Source organism: Homo sapiens, chromosome 12 (genome assembly GCF_000001405.40).
Source record: "Homo sapiens chromosome 12, GRCh38.p14 Primary Assembly".
In the NCBI taxonomy this organism is placed as follows: domain Eukaryota; kingdom Metazoa; phylum Chordata; class Mammalia; order Primates; family Hominidae; genus Homo; species Homo sapiens.
The window spans coordinates 14,938,983-14,961,805 of record NC_000012.12 but is presented as its reverse complement, the minus strand read 5'-3'; the positions used below and the strand labels follow the sequence as shown (position 1 = coordinate 14,961,805).

The 22,823-nt window shown below is 40.7% G+C and overlaps 1 protein-coding gene across 6 annotated transcripts, besides 6 other annotated features; it reads left to right on the top strand.

The window, feature by feature from the left end:
- Positions 1 to 204: 204 nt before the first annotated feature.
- ARHGDIB (Rho GDP dissociation inhibitor beta) lies at positions 205 to 19,791 on the top strand. Of its 6 annotated transcripts, NM_001321420.2 has the most exons (7): positions 205 to 269; positions 5,473 to 5,630; positions 11,082 to 11,274; positions 11,921 to 12,004; positions 13,857 to 13,933; positions 16,967 to 17,030; positions 19,085 to 19,775. In NM_001321420.2, exons 3-7 carry the CDS (start codon positions 11,094 to 11,096, stop codon positions 19,282 to 19,284), a joined length of 606 nt encoding a protein of 201 aa, NP_001308349.1. In that variant the 5' UTR covers positions 205 to 269; positions 5,473 to 5,630; positions 11,082 to 11,093; the 3' UTR covers positions 19,285 to 19,775. The 6 variants fall into 6 exon arrangements, 5 of the variants coding, with proteins under 5 accessions (NP_001308349.1, NP_001166.3, NP_001308350.1 ...); NM_001175.7 differs by lacking the exon at positions 5,473 to 5,630; NM_001321421.2 differs by lacking the exons at positions 205 to 269; positions 5,473 to 5,630 and adding an exon at positions 526 to 652.
- Positions 383 to 502: an enhancer, noted in NCBI's record as "active region_6064". NCBI's record gives its function as "activates an Ori minimal core promoter by ATAC-STARR-seq in GM12878 lymphoblastoid cells {active_cell/tissue: GM12878}" and the evidence as "EXISTENCE:reporter gene assay evidence [ECO:0000049][PMID:35858748]".
- Positions 1,753 to 1,862: an enhancer, noted in NCBI's record as "active region_6063". NCBI's record gives its function as "activates an Ori minimal core promoter by ATAC-STARR-seq in GM12878 lymphoblastoid cells {active_cell/tissue: GM12878}" and the evidence as "EXISTENCE:reporter gene assay evidence [ECO:0000049][PMID:35858748]".
- Positions 5,471 to 5,640: an enhancer, noted in NCBI's record as "active region_6062". NCBI's record gives its function as "activates an Ori minimal core promoter by ATAC-STARR-seq in GM12878 lymphoblastoid cells {active_cell/tissue: GM12878}" and the evidence as "EXISTENCE:reporter gene assay evidence [ECO:0000049][PMID:35858748]".
- Positions 8,860 to 9,029: an enhancer, noted in NCBI's record as "active region_6061". NCBI's record gives its function as "activates an Ori minimal core promoter by ATAC-STARR-seq in GM12878 lymphoblastoid cells {active_cell/tissue: GM12878}" and the evidence as "EXISTENCE:reporter gene assay evidence [ECO:0000049][PMID:35858748]".
- Positions 10,160 to 11,359: an enhancer, noted in NCBI's record as "BRD4-independent group 4 enhancer chr12:15103381-15104580 (GRCh37/hg19 assembly coordinates)". NCBI's record gives its function as "activates an origin of replication core promoter dependent on BRD2, P300/CBP, MED14 and CDK7 cofactors, and independent of BRD4, by STARR-seq in HCT116 cells {active_cell/tissue: HCT116}" and the evidence as "EXISTENCE:reporter gene assay evidence [ECO:0000049][PMID:35650434]".
- Positions 12,529 to 12,738: an enhancer, noted in NCBI's record as "active region_6060". NCBI's record gives its function as "activates an Ori minimal core promoter by ATAC-STARR-seq in GM12878 lymphoblastoid cells {active_cell/tissue: GM12878}" and the evidence as "EXISTENCE:reporter gene assay evidence [ECO:0000049][PMID:35858748]".
- Positions 19,792 to 22,823: the final 3,032 nt, after the last annotated feature.

The window sequence follows — 22,823 nt, the reverse complement described above, 5'->3', positions numbered from 1 at the left end:
CTCTTGCGTGTACATTCATGCATCTCCACGTCACACGGGCTGTCATGCTCGCACATGTGCCATTAATTGACAAGAATGCTGCTCAAGTTGGCTGATCAAGAGATAGGCAGTGCAAAGGAACAGGATTTGAGACAGCCCAGGGTTTCCTCTTCAAGTAGGTCTAAAACATTTTTTTTTCTCATTGACTTCCTTCCTGTTCTAACTGCCAGTACTCAGAAGTCAGAGTTGAGAGACAGAGGCACCCCGGACAGAGACGTGAAGCACTGAATGTAAGTTCAAATACCTCGGGCTGGGGAGGCTTCAGGTGGGCACAGAGCAAAGTCGGAAACCTCTAGACGGGGCTACCGCCCTCGACAGTTTATTATTTTTTTAGAGGGGCAGTTCTTCTTTAAAACAAACTTTATGATAAGAAATTGCTAAGGAGGCTGCAGAGAAGGGGAAGTTAGAGGAGGGAAGGGTAGCAGTGACTCAGGGGAGGAGGCTTAAAAAAGGAGGGTACAGGGTGCGCTGCAGCCCAGGAAGTGCAATCCTGAATATTCTCAGAAGGGCTCTGAGAACACGCACCGGGAGTGCCTGGAGGGGTTTCCTGCAAAGTAGGAGCAGGCACCTGGCCAGGCTTGGAAGAAAAAGACTGTAGATCCAAAATGATACGGTCTGTGCTGGTGGATGGTGGGTTGTGCTGGGGTGGAGATATGTGGTTTCCTGTTTTTAAGCAGACAATGTAAAAAGACTGGTTGAAAGAGAAAAAAAAATGGTTCAAAGCTGTCAAATATTAAACTGTCTTCCACTAAATAATTTTCTGGTGATATAAGAGAAATGCATAATGAAATCCTCCCTTAGAGTGCAGGGGCTTTATCCCTCAAAGAGGAAGTATGGTATAGCACATTGTTATGTACTCATGAGTCATACAGTGATAGAATTTCTACCACTGACAAAGGCTGTGTATTAAATTCCTGCAGTCGGATGGGCAGATCTTTGCTGTTGTTGTCAAAAATAATAATAGGGCTGGGCGTGGTGGCTCACGCCTGCAATCCCAGCACTTTGGGAGGCCGAGGCGGGTAGATCACCTGAGGTCAGGAGTTCAAGACCGGCTTGACCAACATGGTGAAACCCCATCTCTACTGAAAATACAAAATTAGCTGGGTGTGGTGGTGCATCCCTGTAATCCCAGTTATTTGGGAGGCTGAGGCAGGAGAATCACTTGAACCCAGGAGGCAGGGGTTGCAGTGAGCCAAGATCACGCCATTGCACTCCAGCATGGGCAACAAGAGCGAAACTCTGGCTCAAAAAATAAAAATATTAATAATGATAATAGCCCTTTAGGTATGAGATAACTAACAGCAAACATGGAAAACACCAAATAACGTATTAAGAGACAGGTTTGAGAAAAATTCAAGGGGGCCCAGCTAGGACAGCTGATCAGTGGGCCTTCAAAATGTCAAGGTCTGAATTTCAGCCACCATTAGGAGAAGTGCTTTAGGTATGACCTGAAATACTTTCTTCCCTTTTAGAGGACTTCCCAGCCAGCATGTTTCATAAACATAATCTGTAATTAAACTCTAGACCTATGGTAACTTGAGGTGTGTGTCTGGCAAGCCCTGGGCAGTTCTTCATTCAGAGTGGGGAAAGGCAGACTGCTCTCACCCGGAGGGCTCATGGTCACCACTTCACATGGAGACCTAGAGCCCCTGGAGTCAGGGTTGGCCTGGCCATCTTCACTGCAGGGATGGTCAGGCACAGGAGATCAAGAGGACCATGGCACCTGTTGGTCCGGAGAGACAGGGGGCAGAGGTCCAGTCCCTAGCAGGCATCGTGAATCTTGCCATTGGCTTTGTGTTTTTTTAATTTGTAAGAATATATTCCCTCCCAAAGCAGATATAGCACAAGCTTAGTAACAAGAGCATCTTACTCTTTTGTGAGATGTGTGAAATTCTAAGAGACAGTTCTTTCTCCATCCATGCTTCACAGATGCAAAACCTGAGGACTAACTATGCTGTCACTGAACAGAAACTGGCAAGCATTTTTCAGGCCTCGACTGGAATTTGGTCCTTCCTTGCTTTGGAGAGCATGAGTTTGTCCCCTAGGGAAGTTAGCTCTGAGCAACATTAAGGTTCTGTTTTCAGTAGACACTCAGCACCACAAAGTCATTCTGAGGGAAAGATACGGGTCTGAGCTGATTTGGGAGAGCACAGTACATGACAAACATCAGCTAGCAGGAAAAGAGAAGCCCTGGGGAGTCGAAATTATGCAGATAGAAAAGGAGAACCAACATTCATTGAGTGCCTTCTATGTGTCAGGCCTGGTGATAAAAACTTTCAAATTTTGTTCCTGAGAAGAATGCAGAAGTGTTCAATAATTTGACTAAAATTACATACTGATACAAAAAGGATCAATAGCCACAATGCCTCTGAATTGCAATTCACAGGGCATGGTGGTGCGTGCCTGTGGTCCTACCTACTCAGGAGGCTCACGTGATCCTCCCGCCTCAACCTCCCGAGTAGCTGGGACTATAGGCGCGCATCACCACGCTGGCTAATTTTACCATTTTTAGTAGAGACGGGGTTTCTCCATGTTGCCAGGGCTGGTCTTGAATTCCTGGGCTCAAGCAATCCGCCTGCCTTGGCCTCCCAAAGTCCTGGGATTAAAGGCGTGAGCCACCATGCATGGCCTATTATTATTTTTTTGAGACAAGTCTCACTCTGTCACCCGAGCTGAAGTGCAGGGGCGTGAACGCAGCTCACTGCAGCCTCGACCTCCTGAGGCTCAGGTGATCTCCCACATTCTTTAGGAAGAATCACATGGAAGAAATTTTCTCCAATTCCATATTTTGAGAGTTCTTATTCCTGGTTTGTGTTATTGCTGCCCGGGATCCTGTATTCAAGGCTACACTGGCATACCCAGAGATGAGTCTCATGTTGCCCCTGAAACGTCAGCAACATTTATCTGTGCAATAAGCACATCCTGAATCATCCTGTGTTGTGTTACTCTCTGGTGTCCACAGCCAAAGAGTGAATTTTACCGCTGGTAAAAATTCACTTGGGCTTTCTTAAAGAGCCTAATAATCTTAGCACAAACGGTCATAAAAAAAATTCTCTCTCAATTCTGTCTAACTTTTCATGCTAATTTAAAACTTTTGTGAATATATTGAGATACTGAAGGCAATGGCTTCCTTAATGCACAGTTTTCTTTGAGAATTATTTAAAATAATATTTGTGAAGGTACTTGGTGGCATGACTTCACACGTTGGGCACTCAGCAAAGCTCACGGGATCTCTTTGAGTTCTCTCTCTTTGTGCATATGAATGTGGGTTAGAAAAACACACTAAAAAATGCACAGGCAAGAAATAATAAATTGTTTCTCTCACAAAGACAAATGGTAAGAAATTACGTTTCTAGTAATTTGTGCCCTTCTCTGGATTGATTACAATATTTATTGTCTCTTACAAAATAATCTTGTCTTTGGTTTTTCTCATCCAGTTTTGAAGTTTTCGTAGTCCTTCATGGGGCTGAGGTGGTAGAAAGCAGCACCGCAAAGTGGGGAGTATGGATTCCTCCATGTCACCAGGGACAGGGGCGGTGGGGAGAGGGTGGAATCCCGAACCAAGAAGGCTTCTGGTGTCCTGAGAGACAAATTTGCAATCCCGTAATACACCAAATTGCCAGGCAAGCAGCACAGCACATTCAAATCCTTGACTAGCTCTGAAATGTCAACAGTGTTTTAGAGATGGCCTGACTCTCCAGACCTGCACTAGACCCACAGCCCGATTTGGGGGAAGTCAGACATATCCTAGTCAGCAGGGAAAGTGGAGGTAGCAGGAGTTACAGAGAATGCTGATGCTCACATAGGAACTTCTCTGATAGAAATCCCCTACTTCTGGTATTTCCACTTTTCTCTCTCTCTTCCCTCTCTCTCTTTCTCCCTTCTCCCTCCTCTCTCTCTCCTCTTTCTCTCTCCCTCTTTCCCCTCTTCCTTCTCTCTCTCTCATCGCTATCTCTTCTACCTAATACATTAATATCCATGGCCTGTGTGTCTAGATGCATAATCCAGCACAATTTTGCAGATCCAGCTTTGGGCCGTGAGTTAAGTCTCTGTGGTATTTTGCTCCAGAGCCAGAGGGAATTCTCTTCATTAGCTGTGCCTGTGTTCACTGACATTTCTCATCATTCGCAGAGTGACCTCTGGCTTCAATGAAGACAGGGAGCAATAAATAAAACCTAAAATTAAATTGTTTACATGAAAGTTTTTAAAAGAAATATAATATAGTCTCATTTTAAGGTTGATTCAGTTTTTAAACAATCCTTTCAATTCCCCAGAACTTCTTATCTCTTTAATACTCCTCAAAGACAAAAATCTATTTTTAAGGAGGAAGGAGTGGGGACATAGCTCCCATCCAGGGGAAAGTATTTGGTGTGGAAACAGTTACCTAGCTTCAGTGAAGCTTTGCAACAAAGCAGACCACACTGGGGCAGGGAAGGAAGAAGAGGAAGGGAACAAATATTCACGGAACATCTATTCTTGACCAGTATAGTCCTATAATTTTTCATGTGTTTTCTCCAATCTTTCAACCCCGTAAAAAAGAATATCCCCATTTTAGTGGTGATAAAACTGAGGCTCAGTGAAATTAGCAACTTGATTGAGTCCTGTCATAATGCAGAGCCTGGTTTTGAATCCCTGGTCCATCTGACTCAATCTATGTTCTATGAGACATGAAAGTCACCTTTCTCTGAATTACCCAGGTAATTTGTTTAATCTAAACTCAGGAGTTCTACCTTTTCTTGTCCTCAGTTCATTTAGAGCTGCATTAATGAAACAGATGATGCTCTATCCTGACATGGGTGTAAATTTTTAAGTGTAATTCACTTTCAAAGTCTTGGAAATTTCACTGAATTTGCAAGCAAAAACATTGATGTGTGCTATGTCATATGCATGCTGTGAGTAACCATCCTAATTTAATTCGACATTTTAATTGAGCCTGAGAAGATTAAGTCCCCATCTCAGCACATCTAATGCTTGCCAGTGCTTTGCTGAGTAGCAAACATGAGGATGTGAGGCCTCCAATGTGAAAGTTAATCTGTATGCGCATCTGTGAAGCAGAAAATACAGAAAACTAGAGTAGCAAGCCTGTGTGAAAAAATGATATGTGCTTTGGGGCCTAATAAATGGGGTCCACATTAACCTGGTTAAACATATAACTGTTCATTCTCCATTTCATTTTTCCTGTGCAAAGGACCAAAGTCAAAAATAAGCAAAACTCAGCTCTGCCCTTTGTAGAATAGGGGATGAGCAGCTGAGGAAGGTGAGGAAAGCCCATCCAGAAGATTCTATGCTGATGGGCTGAGTCCTCCCCAATCTCCCTTTTACTTCCTCTTTTCTTTTCTCATTTCACAAGCTTCTTTAAATTAGGGAGCATTTGAGTCATTAAATTAAGAAGGGGCCTCAGAGATCCTCTCATGCCACGGCTTCTTTTTGCAGAGGATGAAACTGGGGCCCAGTGAGGTTAAGCAACTTGCAGGAGGTAACGCAGGAACCGAGTTGCGCTGAAACATCGTTATCTGACACTTCCCTGCTTTGTTAAAGCTGTCTCTGCAGAGCTTGCAAAGAAGCATTTACCTCTGCTTGTGCACCTCCAGGTAGATTCCCAAGATGACTAACAAACTCTAATTTTATTATAACTTCTTAAAGATGACTGAAGCAATAAAGCATAGTGCCTAAAAGTCAGACAACCTGGGCGCAGACATTAATTCTGCCTACCACGTGGTATGTCTTCTTAGGCAAGTTACTTAACGTGAACTTTAGTTTCCTGGTCTGGAAAAGAGAATGATGATGCCAACAAAGTTACTGTAAGAACTAAATGAGATAATCCTCTAGAAAGCACTTAGCACTACATGTGATAACTATTATAATTTGTATTAATAATATCAATATTATCAATAGGAAAATCAGTTGTCCTTTAGATGATGGGATTGGAAAACAGTCTGTAGAATTTTCATAAAATTCCTATTCTCATTTCAACACACATCCATAAAATAGGAGGATAAAAAGAGAAAATTGTTGTTTGTGGTTAAATATGCACACAGATAATTTGAGAAATCATTGTCAAACTGTATATGCCATTTATGGCTGGGGCTTCGGGAGAAACTGAGGTTACCCAGAAATAACGTTAAAAATGCAGTACAATGCTTAATAATATTGTATTGTACTTGAGTTTTGCTGAAGAGTAGATTTTAGGTGCTCTTGCCACACACAAAAAAAAGTGGGTGAGATGATGGATATGTTAATTTGCTTGACTATAGTAACCTTTTCACTATCTATGTATCCCAGACATATTTTACATCTTAAATATATACAATAAATACTTTTTAAGAAATTGATTCATAGGAGGTATTTATGTATTCCCGATATCAATCTCTTGTTAATACATGCATTGCGAATGTCTCATTTTTAGAATCCAGACCATTACTCTTTTCACTGTCTATAGGGTGATATTAGGAAAGGAATTTTAAATGCTTGTGTAATTGAAATATTTAATATTTTCTTCTATGTCTTAGTTTTTGCACTTGTAAAATGTAATTGTGCCTACCTCACAACATTGCGATGACTGAATGAAATAATGCATGCCAAGCACTTATCCCGTACTAACTGAGTTTTTGGCTCACAAGTGTTCAGTAACAATTTGCTATTACTATTATGGTACCCTTTATTATGCAAAGACCTGTTCAGTGAAAGAAAAATAATTTTATGTCTGGGAGAAAAATAAGTAAAATAAAATAAAATAAAATATGCAGCATCTGTTGGGGATTCACATACATTTTATTTTTTAATTTTTAAATTTCCTTTTAAAGATGAATTTTATTGCATATATTTAAGGTATACAACATAATGTTTAGGGACACACATCGATAGTAAAAATGTTAGTGAAGCAAATCAACATATCCATCATCTCACGTAGTTACCCTTTTTTTGTTTCTGTGCCAAGAGCAGCTAATGTCTACTCACTTAGCATGGGGATTCACATACATTTTAAATAACAAAACACAGACAGATATTCTCTCATATTCACAGGTGAAATAAGGTAACTGAATGGTAACTTAGCTGACCCATGACTGCAGGTCAGGAGAAATATGCGGAGGCCTTAGAAAAGTAATCATCTAAAGATGATGTGCTCTAATCCCTCATCCCCCAAGATGAGGAAACTCAGATCCGCAGTGGTTGCAACATTCAGTTAACAGGGGAAAAGCTAGTTAGTAGGAAAGCCAGAACCCAAACCCAGGCATGCATAACAAGGCCTAGTTCAATGAAGAGAGCATTATCCAAAATCAAACGGAATGACCACGGAATTCTCCTAAGGGTCTACTTCCTGCACCCATGTGCACCTGGGCTTCTCTGCCAGGCTTTGTGGTCATGCGCCCTCAGACACAGGTGTCACCTGATATCTTCTGCTTCAATATATTCAACACTTTGAGCAGGTGGACATGACTCTCAGCTTGAGACTAAGTTGTGTCAATGATCTGGTGGAGCTCCAGGAAAAAGCAAGCTTCTGCCCAGGCACCTGTAATCCCAGCACTTTGGGAGGCCAAGGCGGGTGGATCTCTTGAGCTCAGGTGTTCAAGACCAGCCTGGGCAAAATGGGGAAACCCTATCTCAACCATAACTACAAAAAATTAGCCAGGCAGGTGGCATGTGCCCGTAGTCCCAGCTACTCAGAAGGCTGAGGCAAGACAATTGCTTGAGTCCAGGAGGCAGAGGTTGTAGTGAGCCAAGATAGAGCCACTGTACTCCAGCCTGGGTGACAGAGTAAAACTATGCCTCAAAAAAAGAAGGAAAGAAGAAAGGAAGGAAGGAAGGAAGGAAAGAAGAAAGGAAGGAAGGAAGGAAGGAAAGAAGGGAGAGAGAGAGAGAAAGAAAGAAGGGAGAGAGAGAGACAAAGAAAGAAAGGGAGAAAGAGAGAAAGAGAGAGAAAGAGAAAGAGAGAGAGAGAGAGAGAGAGCAAGCAAAAGCAAAAAAGCAACCTTCCTCTGTAACACTCCACTCTCTGCTTCATGCTTCCATAGTTTTGAGGTTATGTTCCTAATCTGGAGATCTTGAACCCAAATAAGTCTATAAAGGACTTCAGGGGTCCACAAACCCCTGGATCATATGCACAATGTCATGGGTTTATCTGTTTTTTTTTTCCTTGAGATAATTACCATAATGTTTATCAGATTTTTAAAAAAGAGACCTGTAATCTCCAAAAAAAATAAGAAATCAACCAAACCAGGTGGGCCCTTTTGGTATAGTTAGATTGCCCAACTTCCAGCCTCTTCTCTACTCTGAAGAGTAATTTAAACATCAGTATGGCTGAAGTACAGTGTCTTGTAAACAGTGGGTGCTCACCAAATAATCATGACCCTAATTTTACTTTAAAAGGCTTTCTCTGAGAACTGCTCTTCCAGTCCTTTATTTGTTGTATTATTACTCTTTCTAATCAGCTTTCTAGAATGAGCTAGTTTGGGATCACCTGGTCTCATATCTCTTTTTCTTATGCTATAATTAAACCAAATGATTTTAATGTGGCCCTGAATTTCCCCCTTTTGACTGCAACAAAATTTTGTACAGAAATCCCACAGTATCCTCCACTCTTTAATGTCTAGGTAAATTTGTGTCTCTTTTTATGAAACAATTGTTATATCTGTTTGCAATGAATCGAGAAAATGTAGAACATAAGCCTCAGATTTACTGATGAGAAGATCAAGACCTATATGTTAGATAAATGGACATGCCAATGGTCATACTGTTAGAAGGTGGCAAATCTTGTCCTATACCTAATCCCTCTCTCGCTCTCTTTCTCTTTCTCTCTCTTTCTCTTTTCAACATTGAGATTTGAGCCTGCATAGTTGCAATTTCCTGGAGGTTATTGAAATCATCTTGAGCCAGTGACTGGATGTAATGTTACCATCTGATGGCCAGGTTTCATTCAATCAGGCGACTTGTTAGAACCAAGTGATACAGTTCAGAAAGGCCTGACCATGGGGGCTGGGATGTCTTCCTCTATGAACCGTTGTTCCGATGCTCGGTCAGCAGGTTTGTTATGTGGCCCCCATCCTCCGGGGATCACCAGGGTTCTGGGTATGCCCCTGTCTCATCTGATTAGTCTTATCTGGCTTGCTCTTCATTTGCCCCTTAATGAATGTCATTAAATTTCCCACAACCTACAACATCTACACGCTGCCTCCTTCATTTTTTTCCAACCAGTTCATTCACTTTCCCTGAGTGTTGTTTGGAATACGAATTGCATTAGTCACTATGTTTATTCTGCTGTGCTCTAGAGTCTCATCTTTGAGTGGTGCTGTTTCTTCTGCTAAAGCAAGAGTTGCCATAGGAACAGGCCTACATGTTTTCTTCCTGTACAGGAAGTGAACCTGGGCATTGCAATGCTGTTTTCAGAGTTGGTCAAGGCTAGCTCATAATGTTTGGCTGCTTATTTAGATGGAAGAGAATTGATGAGCCAAGGGATATTATTTCTTTGTTTCTCTTTTTTTTTTTTTTTTTGGTTCCATTAAAATTGCTCTCATTTGGCTTTACTTCCAAATTATTTTTCTTCCTCTTGCCAATAATAGTGACATTGAAACTCAAAACTAGAACTGATTTTGGCCAGAGATATCTTCACTCCTGGGAGACTTTATTAAGGTTTGCAGAACCACTCAGGATGTGATGTGACAGACATTTTCTTATAGTTGTGTCACTTAGGAGCAATGAAGGCTTTAACCACAGGCAGGGAAAAGAGTTACCCTCAAGATAGAATTAAGGAAATCAGAAAACAATCTCCTTGCCCAAATATCTCCCCGGCAGCCATCTCATGTGGCTGTCAGCCACAGGGCCTGAAATTCTTCCCAGAGGGACTTCTTCCTCTTGGTTAGTATACTGCCTCTCATCCAGCTGTGTGAACCTGGGCAATTCTCTTAACTCTGGATCTCAATATCCTCAATGATTACATGAACCCCAGTGGTTCATTTCAGCTCTGAAAAGCTGTGACTATACATCCTCTAAAAGGAATAATTTTTGAATCTACTATTCAGTCATTAACCCTTAACAGGTAAATAACTTGCCTAGATTTCTCCTCAATGTTTTAACACAAAACAAGTAAATGTAGATAATAAGAGATGAAGGAAGACTCCAGGGTATGCCCAGGTGGGGCCTTATAAGGTCAATGGAAACCTAGGAAGGGGAGAAGGGGAGAGACTGAAAGGGAAGTGGATCCAGAAAAGGGAAATGGATGGACAAATGCTAAGGGCAAATTTGTACTTACGATTTTGTCTGGAGGAATTTAAACTGTCCTTTGCTATTTTTGTGGCATTTAAAAAGAATAGAATATCTTTAGATATAAAACCTTATATATCAATCAAGGAAATTGTATAAAGTGCCAGAACTATGCAAGTGTTTTAGGGGGAATTCAAGAAAAACAGCAAACCTAGTACCCACCCTTGAGGGGTGATTAGCAGTGTTGGGTGTGAACCATGCAGGCACCTGAGGCAGGTATCATAAAGGTCAACGGTTCGTCATGAGTCATCTTTGAGGCATTGCTGGAGTTCAGGGACAGATTCCATTGATGGGGAGGAGCCAACCATTTCTCTGGCAAGTACTCCACCTCTCTCTTCTCTCTCCTGCCTCTCTCCACCATTATCACTCAGACTGTGCATGCTGCAAGCTTTGACGCTAGCCAGGCTGGCTGGATTTGGAGGACTGTGATAACTCCTACAGCTTTTTGACTGGGCTTTTGCTTCATTTGTTCAGGAGTCTTTGTGCCATGTTGCTTCACTCGTAGTACGTTATTCACATATGAGTGATTTCTTTCTTGTCAGTTTTGTTCAGTGAATAGAAGATACTACAATGGTACAGAGAAATTCAGGCAGGTCAGAGAAATTACTAGAATACATTAGATTATTATTTCATAGAATTTAATGAGATTGAATTAGGAAAACAATCAGGAAAGTGACTGATGATCAGAGAAGTCCATGAGGGTAAGGAGGCTGCTAACAGCAGCCCCACTAACATCTTTTATATTCATGACTTGTTGACTAACGGGCTGTCATTCTGTCTCCCAGAAATAGATCAGAATGACTGAAAAAGCCCCAGAGCCACATGTGGAGGAGGATGACGATGATGAGCTGGACAGCAAGCTCAATTATAAGCCTCCACCACAGAAGTCCCTGAAAGAGCTGCAGGAAATGGACAAAGATGATGAGAGTCTAATTAAGTACAAGAAAACGCTGCTGGGAGATGGTCCTGTGGTGACAGGTATGTGTGTACAGAGAACAGGGTGGGTGGAAGATCGCTGAGAGGGAAGAAGACATTTTGGCTGCTCAGGAGCAGCAGCAAAGGGAAGAGGACCAACTGCTTCCAGGAAAAAGTGAGCGAGGCACAATTTATATATGCTGATTAAAGTTATGAACTGTATAATTAAGTCTTCTTAAGAGATAAGATGCAAGTCAGCAGTGAGATAGGCACACATAACACACAGAGGGGATTTAGAAAGAATTCCAGGCTACCACTTAGAATTGTATTTCTCTCTCTCCATTTTCTCTCTTTCTCAGTCCTTACCTAACCGTTCATCTCTTCCACATACACCGCGGCAGAACAAGACATGGCCCAGAGATATAAATGGACAGTGCCCAATTAGCAGAGTACCTGACCCATAGCCATTCAGGAAATGTTGGATGTCAATAATTAGATGGACCTACAAGTGCCTAAAGCAGAAATAACTTTGCTGTAATTTACAAGGCCATCAAGACCAAGCATAGCAAACCTGCCACATCCATTTCTATTTCTACTCCAGATAGAAAGATCACTTTTATTTTCATACTCTCTGTCTCCCACTTGAAATGCACACACCCACTATACACATGTCTCTTCTTGGTACTTACATTCCCTTTCGATCCTGCAGATCCGAAAGCCCCCAATGTCGTTGTCACCCGGCTCACCCTGGTTTGTGAGAGTGCCCCGGGACCAATCACCATGGACCTTACTGGTATGTAGACACATCTGTACTGTTCAAAGGGGGCCTAAGATATCACAAAGAAAACTTGGTCTCTGTCTCCTGTTCCAACAGAAGAAAACTGGTGAATCAGAGAGATATATATGCTAGGACCAGTTAACAAATCATTGCTCTTAGAGTGCACAGTATTTACCATGTTTCATGAAAAGCCCAATCTTTATCTCTATTTAATTGAAGAGAGTGCAGGCATACACATTTGATATATTTACAGATTTTTGTCTCCACATGATAGTAAGAGAATTGTTATTTATGCAATAAAGACTGCTGATGGAAATATTAAGAAACAAATTGTGTGCTTCTGAAGTTATAAGGTTTATACAGTCTAAACATCAAAGTATTGATCTTCTATCCACTACAAAACTTACTGGAAGGTGAGAAGCAATCCGGAATTATACTAGAAATTCCACTGCTATAGATTGAATTGTTTTAGCTTGAAACTCTGATTCTTGTTAAATAAACAACGTCTCCTACTAAAGGCGTACAAATTAAGATGTTATTTTCTTTCACCTTATTGTAACTAAGGGTCAAGCCTTTCCCTGAGACTTAGGGCTTGAGGAGGAGAGAGACTGGGAAGGGGGTTATTGTGGAGGAAATGGGCATCAGAGGGGATATGAGAGGAGAAGCACGGAGCCAGGAGATTGGGGCCTTCAAAGGCAAGTTTTTAGTGGAAAAAAAAAATAGTTACCAAATGAAAAAATTGGACTCTTGTGAGACAGACAAAGCACAAGTCTAGAACAGTTGGCTTAGTTAGCAGCAGAGTAGTTCCCCTCTCACAGGACACAGCCAGTCTTTACCTTATATGGGCTTTTTTGTCAGAGGGAGGAAATCAGAGGCTGAGAAGGCACACTTCCTGTTCAACTGAAATCATTAGAGCAGGCACACACACACATTCAGCTACCCCGACATGCTGACATCTCTCCAGGAGAGAAACTCACGCTCTCTCACCAGAACTCAGAGTCTTCCTAATATTACCAGGTACAGCTGCCAGTTTGCAAGATAAGGTCTGAATTAGCGCTAAAGAAATCTGTTCTCTTCAGCAGGACCTGGTAGTATTGCAAGGAAAACTTGGTCTCTGTCCCCTTTCCCAGCAGAGGAAAACCAAATTGGGTTTTCTGTCACTAACAAGCTGCTATGCATGAAGAAAAGCATAGAGAGTGATTACCTCCTTAATCAGGGTACAGGAATTTGGGACAGATCCTGGTTTTATGGAACCTGAAGCTTTTATAACTTCAGTGATATTCCTTAAGAAAAATAGTATGAAATTGCAAATGAAAATACAAGAGTAAACACAAAGGTGAACATTTTCTTAAAGTGATAAAATGAATAAAAACAAGTAGAATTTTAAAAGCTAGAAAATGCCACAAACATCACCAAATCTATAAAAACAAATAGCTGACACTCCTAAATACTATTTTTCTTATATGTTTTATTTGAGGGGTAAGGGGCATATTCTTTAATAACCTCTTCATTTGACCAGTAATATAATTCTCAATGAGAGAATAAATGGACCAAAAAAAGATTTATCTTCACAACTCATTATTTGTAATGTCTTGTGTATTTTTAGCATTGTCATCAAACTTGGGGGCAGGGAAACTCTCATGTTTTTCATAACAGAGCTGTAAGATTTCAGGCATTAAGTGTGTGTGTGTGTGTGTGTGTGTGTGTGTGTGTGTGCAAGGACTAAACTCAAATACTCTGTGAATTGAGGGCCCTGTGAACCATGTTGCCCTCGTGGGCCCAACAAATTTTTCCGGGACTTAAAAGTCATTTATTAACTTGTGTATCTGCTTTTGAGGATAAACTCTCTCTAAATCTTCTTCTACAGGAGATCTGGAAGCCCTCAAAAAGGAAACCATTGTGTTAAAGGAAGGTTCTGAATATAGAGTCAAAATTCACTTCAAAGTAAGTATCCTGCCTTGTGTGTTTTTGTAAAGTTTAAATCTTTTCTTTAATCAGTGACTACATTTCTTGCATGATCATGTTGAGGTACTTTTTGTTTGTTTCTCCCCTAGTACCCCCAAGCTGGGTCTGGAATGTCCTCTTCCCAGCCCTGAGGGCTACCTGTTGAGACCCACGTTTGCCTCCTGTCTTTTCCTAGCCAGGACTTCTTAAACTCTTCATTATCTCTTAAGCCAATGGGATCCCTCTGTGAACTCCAAACACATCCTCGAGGCACACACTGCTTTGTGTTGTACCACCTGTGTCATTTCTTCTTCATAGAATATAAGCACCTCAATCTAGGGTGAAATTGTACATCTCTCCTTTCCAATATTTCACACAAAACTTTGTAAATAGCATATAGTTCATGAATATATATTGAAAAGTGGACAAACAAGTGAATCAACCAATAGGAAAAGAAAATGGGACAGGGCCTCAGCTCTAATTGCTCAAGGATTATATAAATCCAGGAAGTGTGATCTTTGCTAAAGAACTGGAAATTACAATTATAGTTGTGGAACAGGTAACCAGGAAAGAGGAAACTAAATAAGAAATAAACTGACATCTAATATATCCCAATGAGCCATATATCCCAATGAGCAGCCAAAATCACAAGAAAAATAACTTTGACTTTGAAAACAAATAAGTTAGAAATGCAGTGTTTGCACTTCGTGGTTTATGTTTGCTTTGGTGGCCTCTCATTCCCACTTAGCCTCAGTCTCCAGGGCCTGGGCTCCACCAAGGAAGACTCCATCTGCTCTCTCTATTTGCACACTGGGAACTTTTTTCCCCAAGGTACAGGATATGATTCAGGGTTTATGGATGACCTCCCTACCCCATACAAATATAACTGAAAATAATTTCATCCTGGAAATATTTGTTGATGCCTACTCTATAATGGACACTGAGCTAGGGTTCACTTACTTGTTTCCTGTCATATTATTTATTATTGGAGCACCTGAAGGTTTGGTAAGGCATTATATCAAAATATGCCTAGAATGGGTTGCACATCAGTTTCATTTTTAATCATTGATGCTATTGCATTAATTTGTCTATTTGGTAAACCAGGTTTCCTCAAATGAAATGTGACAGGTAAATTTTGACGTGACTAAGATGCAAAGGAAAGCTCTGGAACAGGGGCTTCTCCTCTGGATGGGGAGGTGGAGGAGGAATGTGGTATGTGGGTCTGTGTGGACAGGTTTACACATTAGGATGATGCAGGAGGAGGCCACAGAAAGGGGCTTTTGAGTACTCTCTAATTCAGAGGTTTGATGGCTCTCTGGGTAACCTACGTAAAGTTGAACCATCCTGTGGCTTGTCCCAGCATGGTGCTACAATTAGAAGAAATGCCAGATCAAAGTCAAAAATCCTTGAAAAACAACTTAAATCTTCACTGAAGTCTCTTGAAAAATGTCCAAGAAAGTTTGCATTTATAACACAAGTAACACATGTTAAGTCCTCTTTCACAATCTCTGTTAGTTGCACTCAATGTTCTTTTTCTCCTCCCAAACTTCTTAGCACTTTCTAAAAACCTGACCTACGATTGTTATTTTAGGTTCTTCCCAACTTTTTTTCTGCCTCCCAAGGAAATGTGGTATCTCTGACTTCCACAGCTCTCACTTTGATTCATAACACCAAGGCTTCTTCCCCCTGGAGTGGGAGACACAATAGGGATGGGGATGTGGGCAGAAGAAGAGGATTCTATGAATATTCATAGTTTTATTTCACCCACCCCAAATGTATTTATATTAAATGGACCCACTGAAGAGCGCTGGTGAGATGGTAGACTCTTTGTCTTGAAGTCCTTATTGCTACACCAATATAATTCTTCTTCTTAGGTCTTTCTCCCACTAGGTGAAAGGGATAAGCTTCGGGACATCTAGAAAGGTGCATTTATTTTCCCTATTCCTATGAGCTACATTTGAGACTCACAGTATTAGAAAGCCTGGGCTTTATCACAGTCTCTTTGATGATGCTAATTTTTTTTCTGACAGCTTTTCATAGGTTTATACTACAGATTTACCCTGTGACAGTCAAGAATCTAAGCTGGCAGAGTTCACTGCTCTGCCACCTCCCTGCCAACAAAACAAAAGATAGCACTGGTTGATTGGTTGAACTATTGTGTCCAACACAAAAGGACAGCCATAATTATTGTTGAAGAAAAATTATTTGAAGATGCTTTAATTCTTCACATTGGTGAACAGATAACCAAGCTCTTCGGCTAATGATGCAATGTCCACTTTAATTTGTTTGTATAGACATAACGACTGTGTAAAATTAACAGACAACCCAGGTCAGTCCCAGGTGAAATGAATCATGGAAAAACAAAGTTCTTGGGCTGTCCACATTTTCATTCTGCGTTACTGAATTTTCTTTGAAAGGCTTGGGAAAATAGCAAGATCTCAGACAACGTCTGAAAATGACAGACATCCAACATACTTGCCAGATACAAGTGAATTTCACCCATTATTTCAGTTATATTGCAGTCACAGCCATCTTCTAGACATGAATTTTCACTTTCCTCCTTGTTGTTTGTTTTTTATATGGTAAGTGGATCATCTCTGAGGTTGTGGTTTTTAGATATTTACATAATGTGCTCTATTGGTATCTTCATAACTTTTCCTAAGACAAGGATGGTCTCTTGGTCAGCAGTATTGGAGAGGGAAAGCTCAAGGCCATTCTTGGGACCATTGAGAAAGGAGAAATACAATGAAGAATATTGGGCCAATGTTTTAATGAACCACTCCTCTCTCCCAAAACGGTAAAAATCAAAATGTTCGATAATTAAACCAGTTTGGCAATGTTGCATTTTATGATTTCCCCTCTCTAATCTTTGCCTCACAGCCATGCTAAATAATTATAGAAACACCAATTCTGAACTAAATCTTTAGTTTTTTCATTGTCAGAGACGATTCAGCTAGGCAGGATCAGCATGAAAGATGAGAAAAAATGAAAGACCCTCTTAATCTGAACATCTTGGTTCCTTCCCACCTGCAGGTGAACAGGGATATTGTGTCAGGCCTGAAATACGTTCAGCACACCTACAGGACTGGGGTGAAAGGTAAGGGAACCCACATTTCCACACTGTCCCAAACTGCTTCTCATTGATACTTTAACTTCTGGTTATTAGCAACTTTTAGCTATAGACTCAGATGAGAATACAATAAAAGCTGTGGATGCCGGCTCTAGGAAAAGGCACAAATACACCTCTGATATAGACATTGACAAGGCCAATGCTCAGGGGACCTCGTTTAGACTGCATCAGCTGCTAACGTTCAGCAGTCAGCTTTTTGGATTCAATATTATCACTCGTAAAGGAGAAGAGTAACCAAGATAAGTTTAAAGGAAATAAAGTATATAAAAATACTCTACAAAGTAAACAACCAAAAAAGGCAGTTCACAGGTACAAAACCCAAGTGTCAGAGAAAACCAAGAAAGAAAAAACTTGCCCAGTGCCATGTGTATCTGGGGTGGGAGTAGGTGGGGGTGGCATTGGAGGGAAGGGGGAGGCAATGCTCAATTTCCTAACAAAGAAATAGAAAAAAAAATATTTTCTAGGATTGAAAAAGCCTGTCTAATTAAAATAACACAACAACATTACTTAATCTGCAATTCTTCTTGTCATGCCTTGGGACCCTGCCTTCAATTTTCTTTCATTAATATAGGCAGGGAGAAATGAGAGGCGGGAAGGTGATGGAGGCACTTTACAGTTCCTTTCTACCTAAGGGTCTGTCCCCTCCAGAGGCAAGAAACAACAAAGCATGTCTCAGTTTCCACCAAATTAATAAGCAAGATAGGGGAGAAATTGTCTGATAAATCTGGATGACATAGAGGACCAGTCAATTTCTCAAATCCCAGAGAAGACCATTGACCTGAAAGATATTGATTGGCCTTTCCGATACCTAGTCTCATGAAAAAAAAGTTTAATTTCCTATTTTCCTTTGGGCATAAAGCCCGTATCACCTCACTTAGACAAAAGGACAGTGACATGTCTGCAACTGTTTTTTCAAACTTATTAGCAACACTTAGCCAACTATATGCCACCTATCTGCCTATGTATACTTTTCAATGCCCAACTATTCTTAATATATATTCCAGTTAACCACCTATAAATAAACTTGATTGGCTATTTTCACCATTTGTCCTAGTTCTTCACTTTTTTTTTTACCAACTTACTGCTGTTGTTGTTCCATCCAGTTATTCTATCCATGAATTCTCATCACCATCTGTTACTTTATCTCCCCCAACTGATATGTTCATAGAATGACAGTTTGTAGATAGAAGATCCTTAAAGTCCATCATATACACAAAGAAATGGAGGCTCAAAAATGTTATATGACTTAGGCCATTGCAGGACTGAGATCAGAACTGAGGTCTCAATTTGTCTGAGTTTTTTAAAATGGTGTAATCTGCTATATCTCCATAAAAAAAACAACAACAACAACAAAAAAAAAAAAAACAGGCTTAATCCCCATTGATTTAGGCCACTGGTTCCCCAACTTTACCTCAGAATCAACTTTGTAGTTTTTTAAAAACACTGATCCCTGGGACCCACAGAAGGTTACTGAACCATAGCCTTTGGAAGTAGGACAAAGGAAACTATATTATTAAAAGGCACTCCAACTTAAAAAATGTTTTAAAGAATAATTTTTTTAAAAAGATGCCTCAGGGCCAGGTGCGGTGGCTCACACCTGTAATCCCAGTACTTTGGGAGGCCGAGGCGGGTGGATCACCTGAGGTTGGTAGTTCGAGACCAGCCTGACCAACATGGAGAAACCCCGTCTCTACTAAAAATACAAAATTAGCCAAGCATGGTGGCGCATGCCTGTAATCCCAGCTGCTCGGGAGGTTGAGGCAGGAGAATCACTGGAACCTGGGAGGTGGAGGTTGTGGTGAGCCGAGATTGTGCTTCCGCACTCCAGCCTGGACAACAAGAGCAAAACTCCATCTTAAAAAAAAAAAAAGATGCCTCAGGTAAATCTAATGTTTATTTAGGCTTGGAAACCATTGCTCTTGACTTTAATCACTGTAGGCTGTAGTCCAGATTCTCCAGTTTGCAGTGTATGTTTTTCCTCTATCAGGCTCTTACCCTAATGAACTCTTCTTTCTTCTTAGTGGATAAAGCAACATTTATGGTTGGCAGCTATGGACCTCGGCCTGAGGAGTATGAGTTCCTCACTCCAGTTGAGGAGGCTCCCAAGGGCATGCTGGCGCGAGGCACGTACCACAACAAGTCCTTCTTCACCGACGATGACAAGCAAGACCACCTCAGCTGGGAGTGGAACCTGTCGATTAAGAAGGAGTGGACAGAATGAATGCATCCACCCCTTTCCCCACCCTTGCCACCTGGAAGAATTCTCTCAGGCGTGTTCAGCACCCTGTCCCTCCTCCCTGTCCACAGCTGGGTCCCTCTTCAACACTGCCACATTTCCTTATTGATGCATCTTTTCCCACCCTGTCACTCAACGTGGTCCCTAGAACAAGAGGCTTAAAACCGGGCTTTCACCCAACCTGCTCCCTCTGATCCTCCATCAGGGCCAGATCTTCCACGTCTCCATCTCAGTACACAATCATTTAATATTTCCCTGTCTTACCCCTATTCAAGCAACTAGAGGCCAGAAAATGGGCAAATTATCACTAACAGGTCTTTGACTCAGGTTCCAGTAGTTCATTCTAATGCCTAGATTCTTTTGTGGTTGTTGCTGGCCCAATGAGTCCCTAGTCACATCCCCTGCCAGAGGGAGTTCTTCTTTTGTGAGAGACACTGTAAACGACACAAGAGAACAAGAATAAAACAATAACTGTGTGTGTTCTGGCTGAGACCTTCATTTCCCTGCTTTCTTGCTTTGAACAAATATGATAACTGGATGGTTCACATTCATGAGTTCCCTCAGAGGGGATGGGGATGAGGAAAACACACTGGAGGAGATATTTACATCTTTGGGAACAAATTGGTCCCCTATTACACTATAATAGGCAATGCACATTCAGAATACAGCCAGTGGGAAATCTACATTTTACTTATTTAGTTAGCTATTTTTAATTTCGACTTTTATATTAGGTATAGAGGGTACATGTGCAGGTTCGTTACATGGGTATATTGCATCCAGGTAGTGAGCCTAGTACTAAATAGATAGTTTTTCAAAAAATGCCCCACTCCCTCCCTTACCCCTCAGGTAGTCCACAGTGTCTACTGTTTCTATGTTCATGTCTATGTGTGTTCAGTGTTTAGCTCCCACTTATAACTGAGAACATATGGAAGTTGGTTTTCTGTTTCTGCATTGCTTTGCTTAGGATTATGGCCTCCAGCTTCATCCATATTGCTGCAAAGGACATGATTTTACTTTTTTATTATGACCATATAGTATATCATGGTATATATGCACCACATATTTTATCCAATCCACCATTAATGGGCAACTACATTAATTCCGTGTCTTTGCTATTGTGAATGGCACAACAATGAACATACATGTGCATGTCTGTTTGGTACAACAATCTACTTTCCTTTGGATATATACATAGTAATGGGGTTGCTGAATCAAATGGTAGCTCTGTTTCAAGTTTTTTGAGAAATCTTCAAACTGGTCACTCTCCATACGTTCGTAAAAATATTATGCCTTGGAATGCTAACGTTACTCCTAAAAATTGGAGTACTCTCCTTGGCCTTACTGTAGAGATAAAAGGTATAGATGTCCTCATTACTTAGAGTTGCTTTCCACAGTGGCTGAACTACGTAACTGCTTAAGCTACATCCCCATGAATAATGTATAAGCATTCCCTTTTCTCTGCAGTCTCACAGTGTCTGTTGTTTTTTGATTTTTTAATAATGGCCATTCTGACTAGTGTGAGATTGTATCTCATTTTGGCTTTGATTTGCATTTCTCTGATAATTAGTAACGTTGAGCATTTTTTGTAGGCTTATTGGCCTCTTGTGTGTCTTCTTTTCAGAAGTATCTGTTTATGCTCTTTGCCCATTTTCTATTGGGGTTATTTGTTTTTTGCTTCTTGATTTGTTTAAGTTTCTTATGGATTCTGAATATTAGACCTTTGTTGGATGCATAGTTTGCATATGCTTTCTCCCATTTTGTAGATTGTCTATCAATAGTTCCTTTTGCTCTGAAGAACCTCTTTAATTAGGTCCCACTTGTCAATTTTTGTTTTTGTTGCAATTGCTTTTGAGGACTTAGCCAAAAATTACTTGTCAAGATTAATGTCAAAAAGAGTATTTCCTAGGTTTTCTTCTAGGACTTTTATGGTTTGAGGTCTTAAATCTTTAATTCATCTTGAGTTAACTTTTTATATGGTGAAAGATGAGGGTGCAGTTTCATTCTTCTGCATATGGCTAGCCAGCTATCACAGCACCATTTATTGAGTAGGGAATCCTTTCCCCATTGATTGGTTTTGTTAACTTTGTCGAAGATCAGATGGTTGTAGGTATATGACTTTATTTCTGGGTTCTCTATTCTGTTCCATTGGTCTATGTGTTTGCTTTTGTACCAGTACCATGCTATTTTGGTTACTGTAGCCTTGTAGTATAGTTTGAAGTTGGGTAATGTGACGCCTCTGTTTTTGTTCTTTTTGATTAGGATTGCTTTAGCTAGTCAGACTCTTTTTTGGTTCCATATAAATTTTAGAATAGTTTCTTTTCTAATTCTGTGAAGAATGACGTTGGTAGTTAGATAGGAATAGCACTGAATCTGTTAATTTCTTTGGGCAGTATGGCCATTTTGAAGATACTGATTCTTCCTACCCATGAGCATGGAGTGTTTTTTCATTTGTGTCACCTCTGATTTCTTTCAAAAGTGTTTTGTATTTCTCCTTGTAGAGATATTTTACCTCCTTGGTTATCTGTATTCCTAGGCATTTCATTTTATTTGTAGCTATTGTAAATGAAATTGTGTTCTTGATTTTACTCTCAGCCTGGACATTATTGCTGTATAGAAATGCCACTAATTTTTGTACACTTATTTTTTTCCTGATACCTTACTGAAATCATTCATCAGTTCCAGTAGCCTTTTGGCAGAGTCTTCAGAGCTTTCTAGGCATACAATCATATTGTCAACAAGGAGAAATAGTTTGACTTTTTCTTTTCCTGTTTAGATGCCTTTTATGTCTTCCTCTTGCCTAATTGCCCTGGCTAGGGCTTCCTAATTTCTTTTGTAATATTTTCACATGAAAATTCTCCTAAGCTTAAAACTACATATCCCAATGCCTGTGGAAATCTCATCTTGGACTTCCTCAGACACTTGTGAGCAAAATCAAACTTCATCTCATTCTTCTGCTTAAGACTTTTCAGTGGTTCCCATCACCTACAGAATAAAATTGATGCTCCCGCGCTTAGTGTATCATATAAAGCCTGCTGTGAGCTGGTCCCAACATGCCTTTCTGTCCACATGTATCACTTCCTTCCTTTTCATCATTCTCAATTACTAGTAATTCTGTCACACATTATATTTGCATATCTGTGCTTTGGTTCTTTTTTTTTTTTTTTTTTTTTTTTGAGACGGAGTCTCGCTCTGTCGCCCAGGCTGGAGTGCAGTGGTGCTATTTCGGCTCACTGCAAGCTCTGCCTCCCGGGTTCAGGCCATCCTCCTGCCTCAGCCTCCCGAGTAGCTGGGACTACAGGCGCCCGCCACCACACCTGGCTAATTTTTTGTATTTTTAGTAGAGATGGGGTTTCACCATGTTAGCCAGGATGGTCTCAATCTCCTGACCTCGTGATCCACCTGCCTCAGCCTCCCAAAGTTCTGGGATTACAGGTATGAGCCACCACGCCCGGCCTGTGCTTTAGTTCTTTACATGAAACTCCCTTTCTACCTTGTGTTGCCTGGCAAAATCTTACTTACCCAGA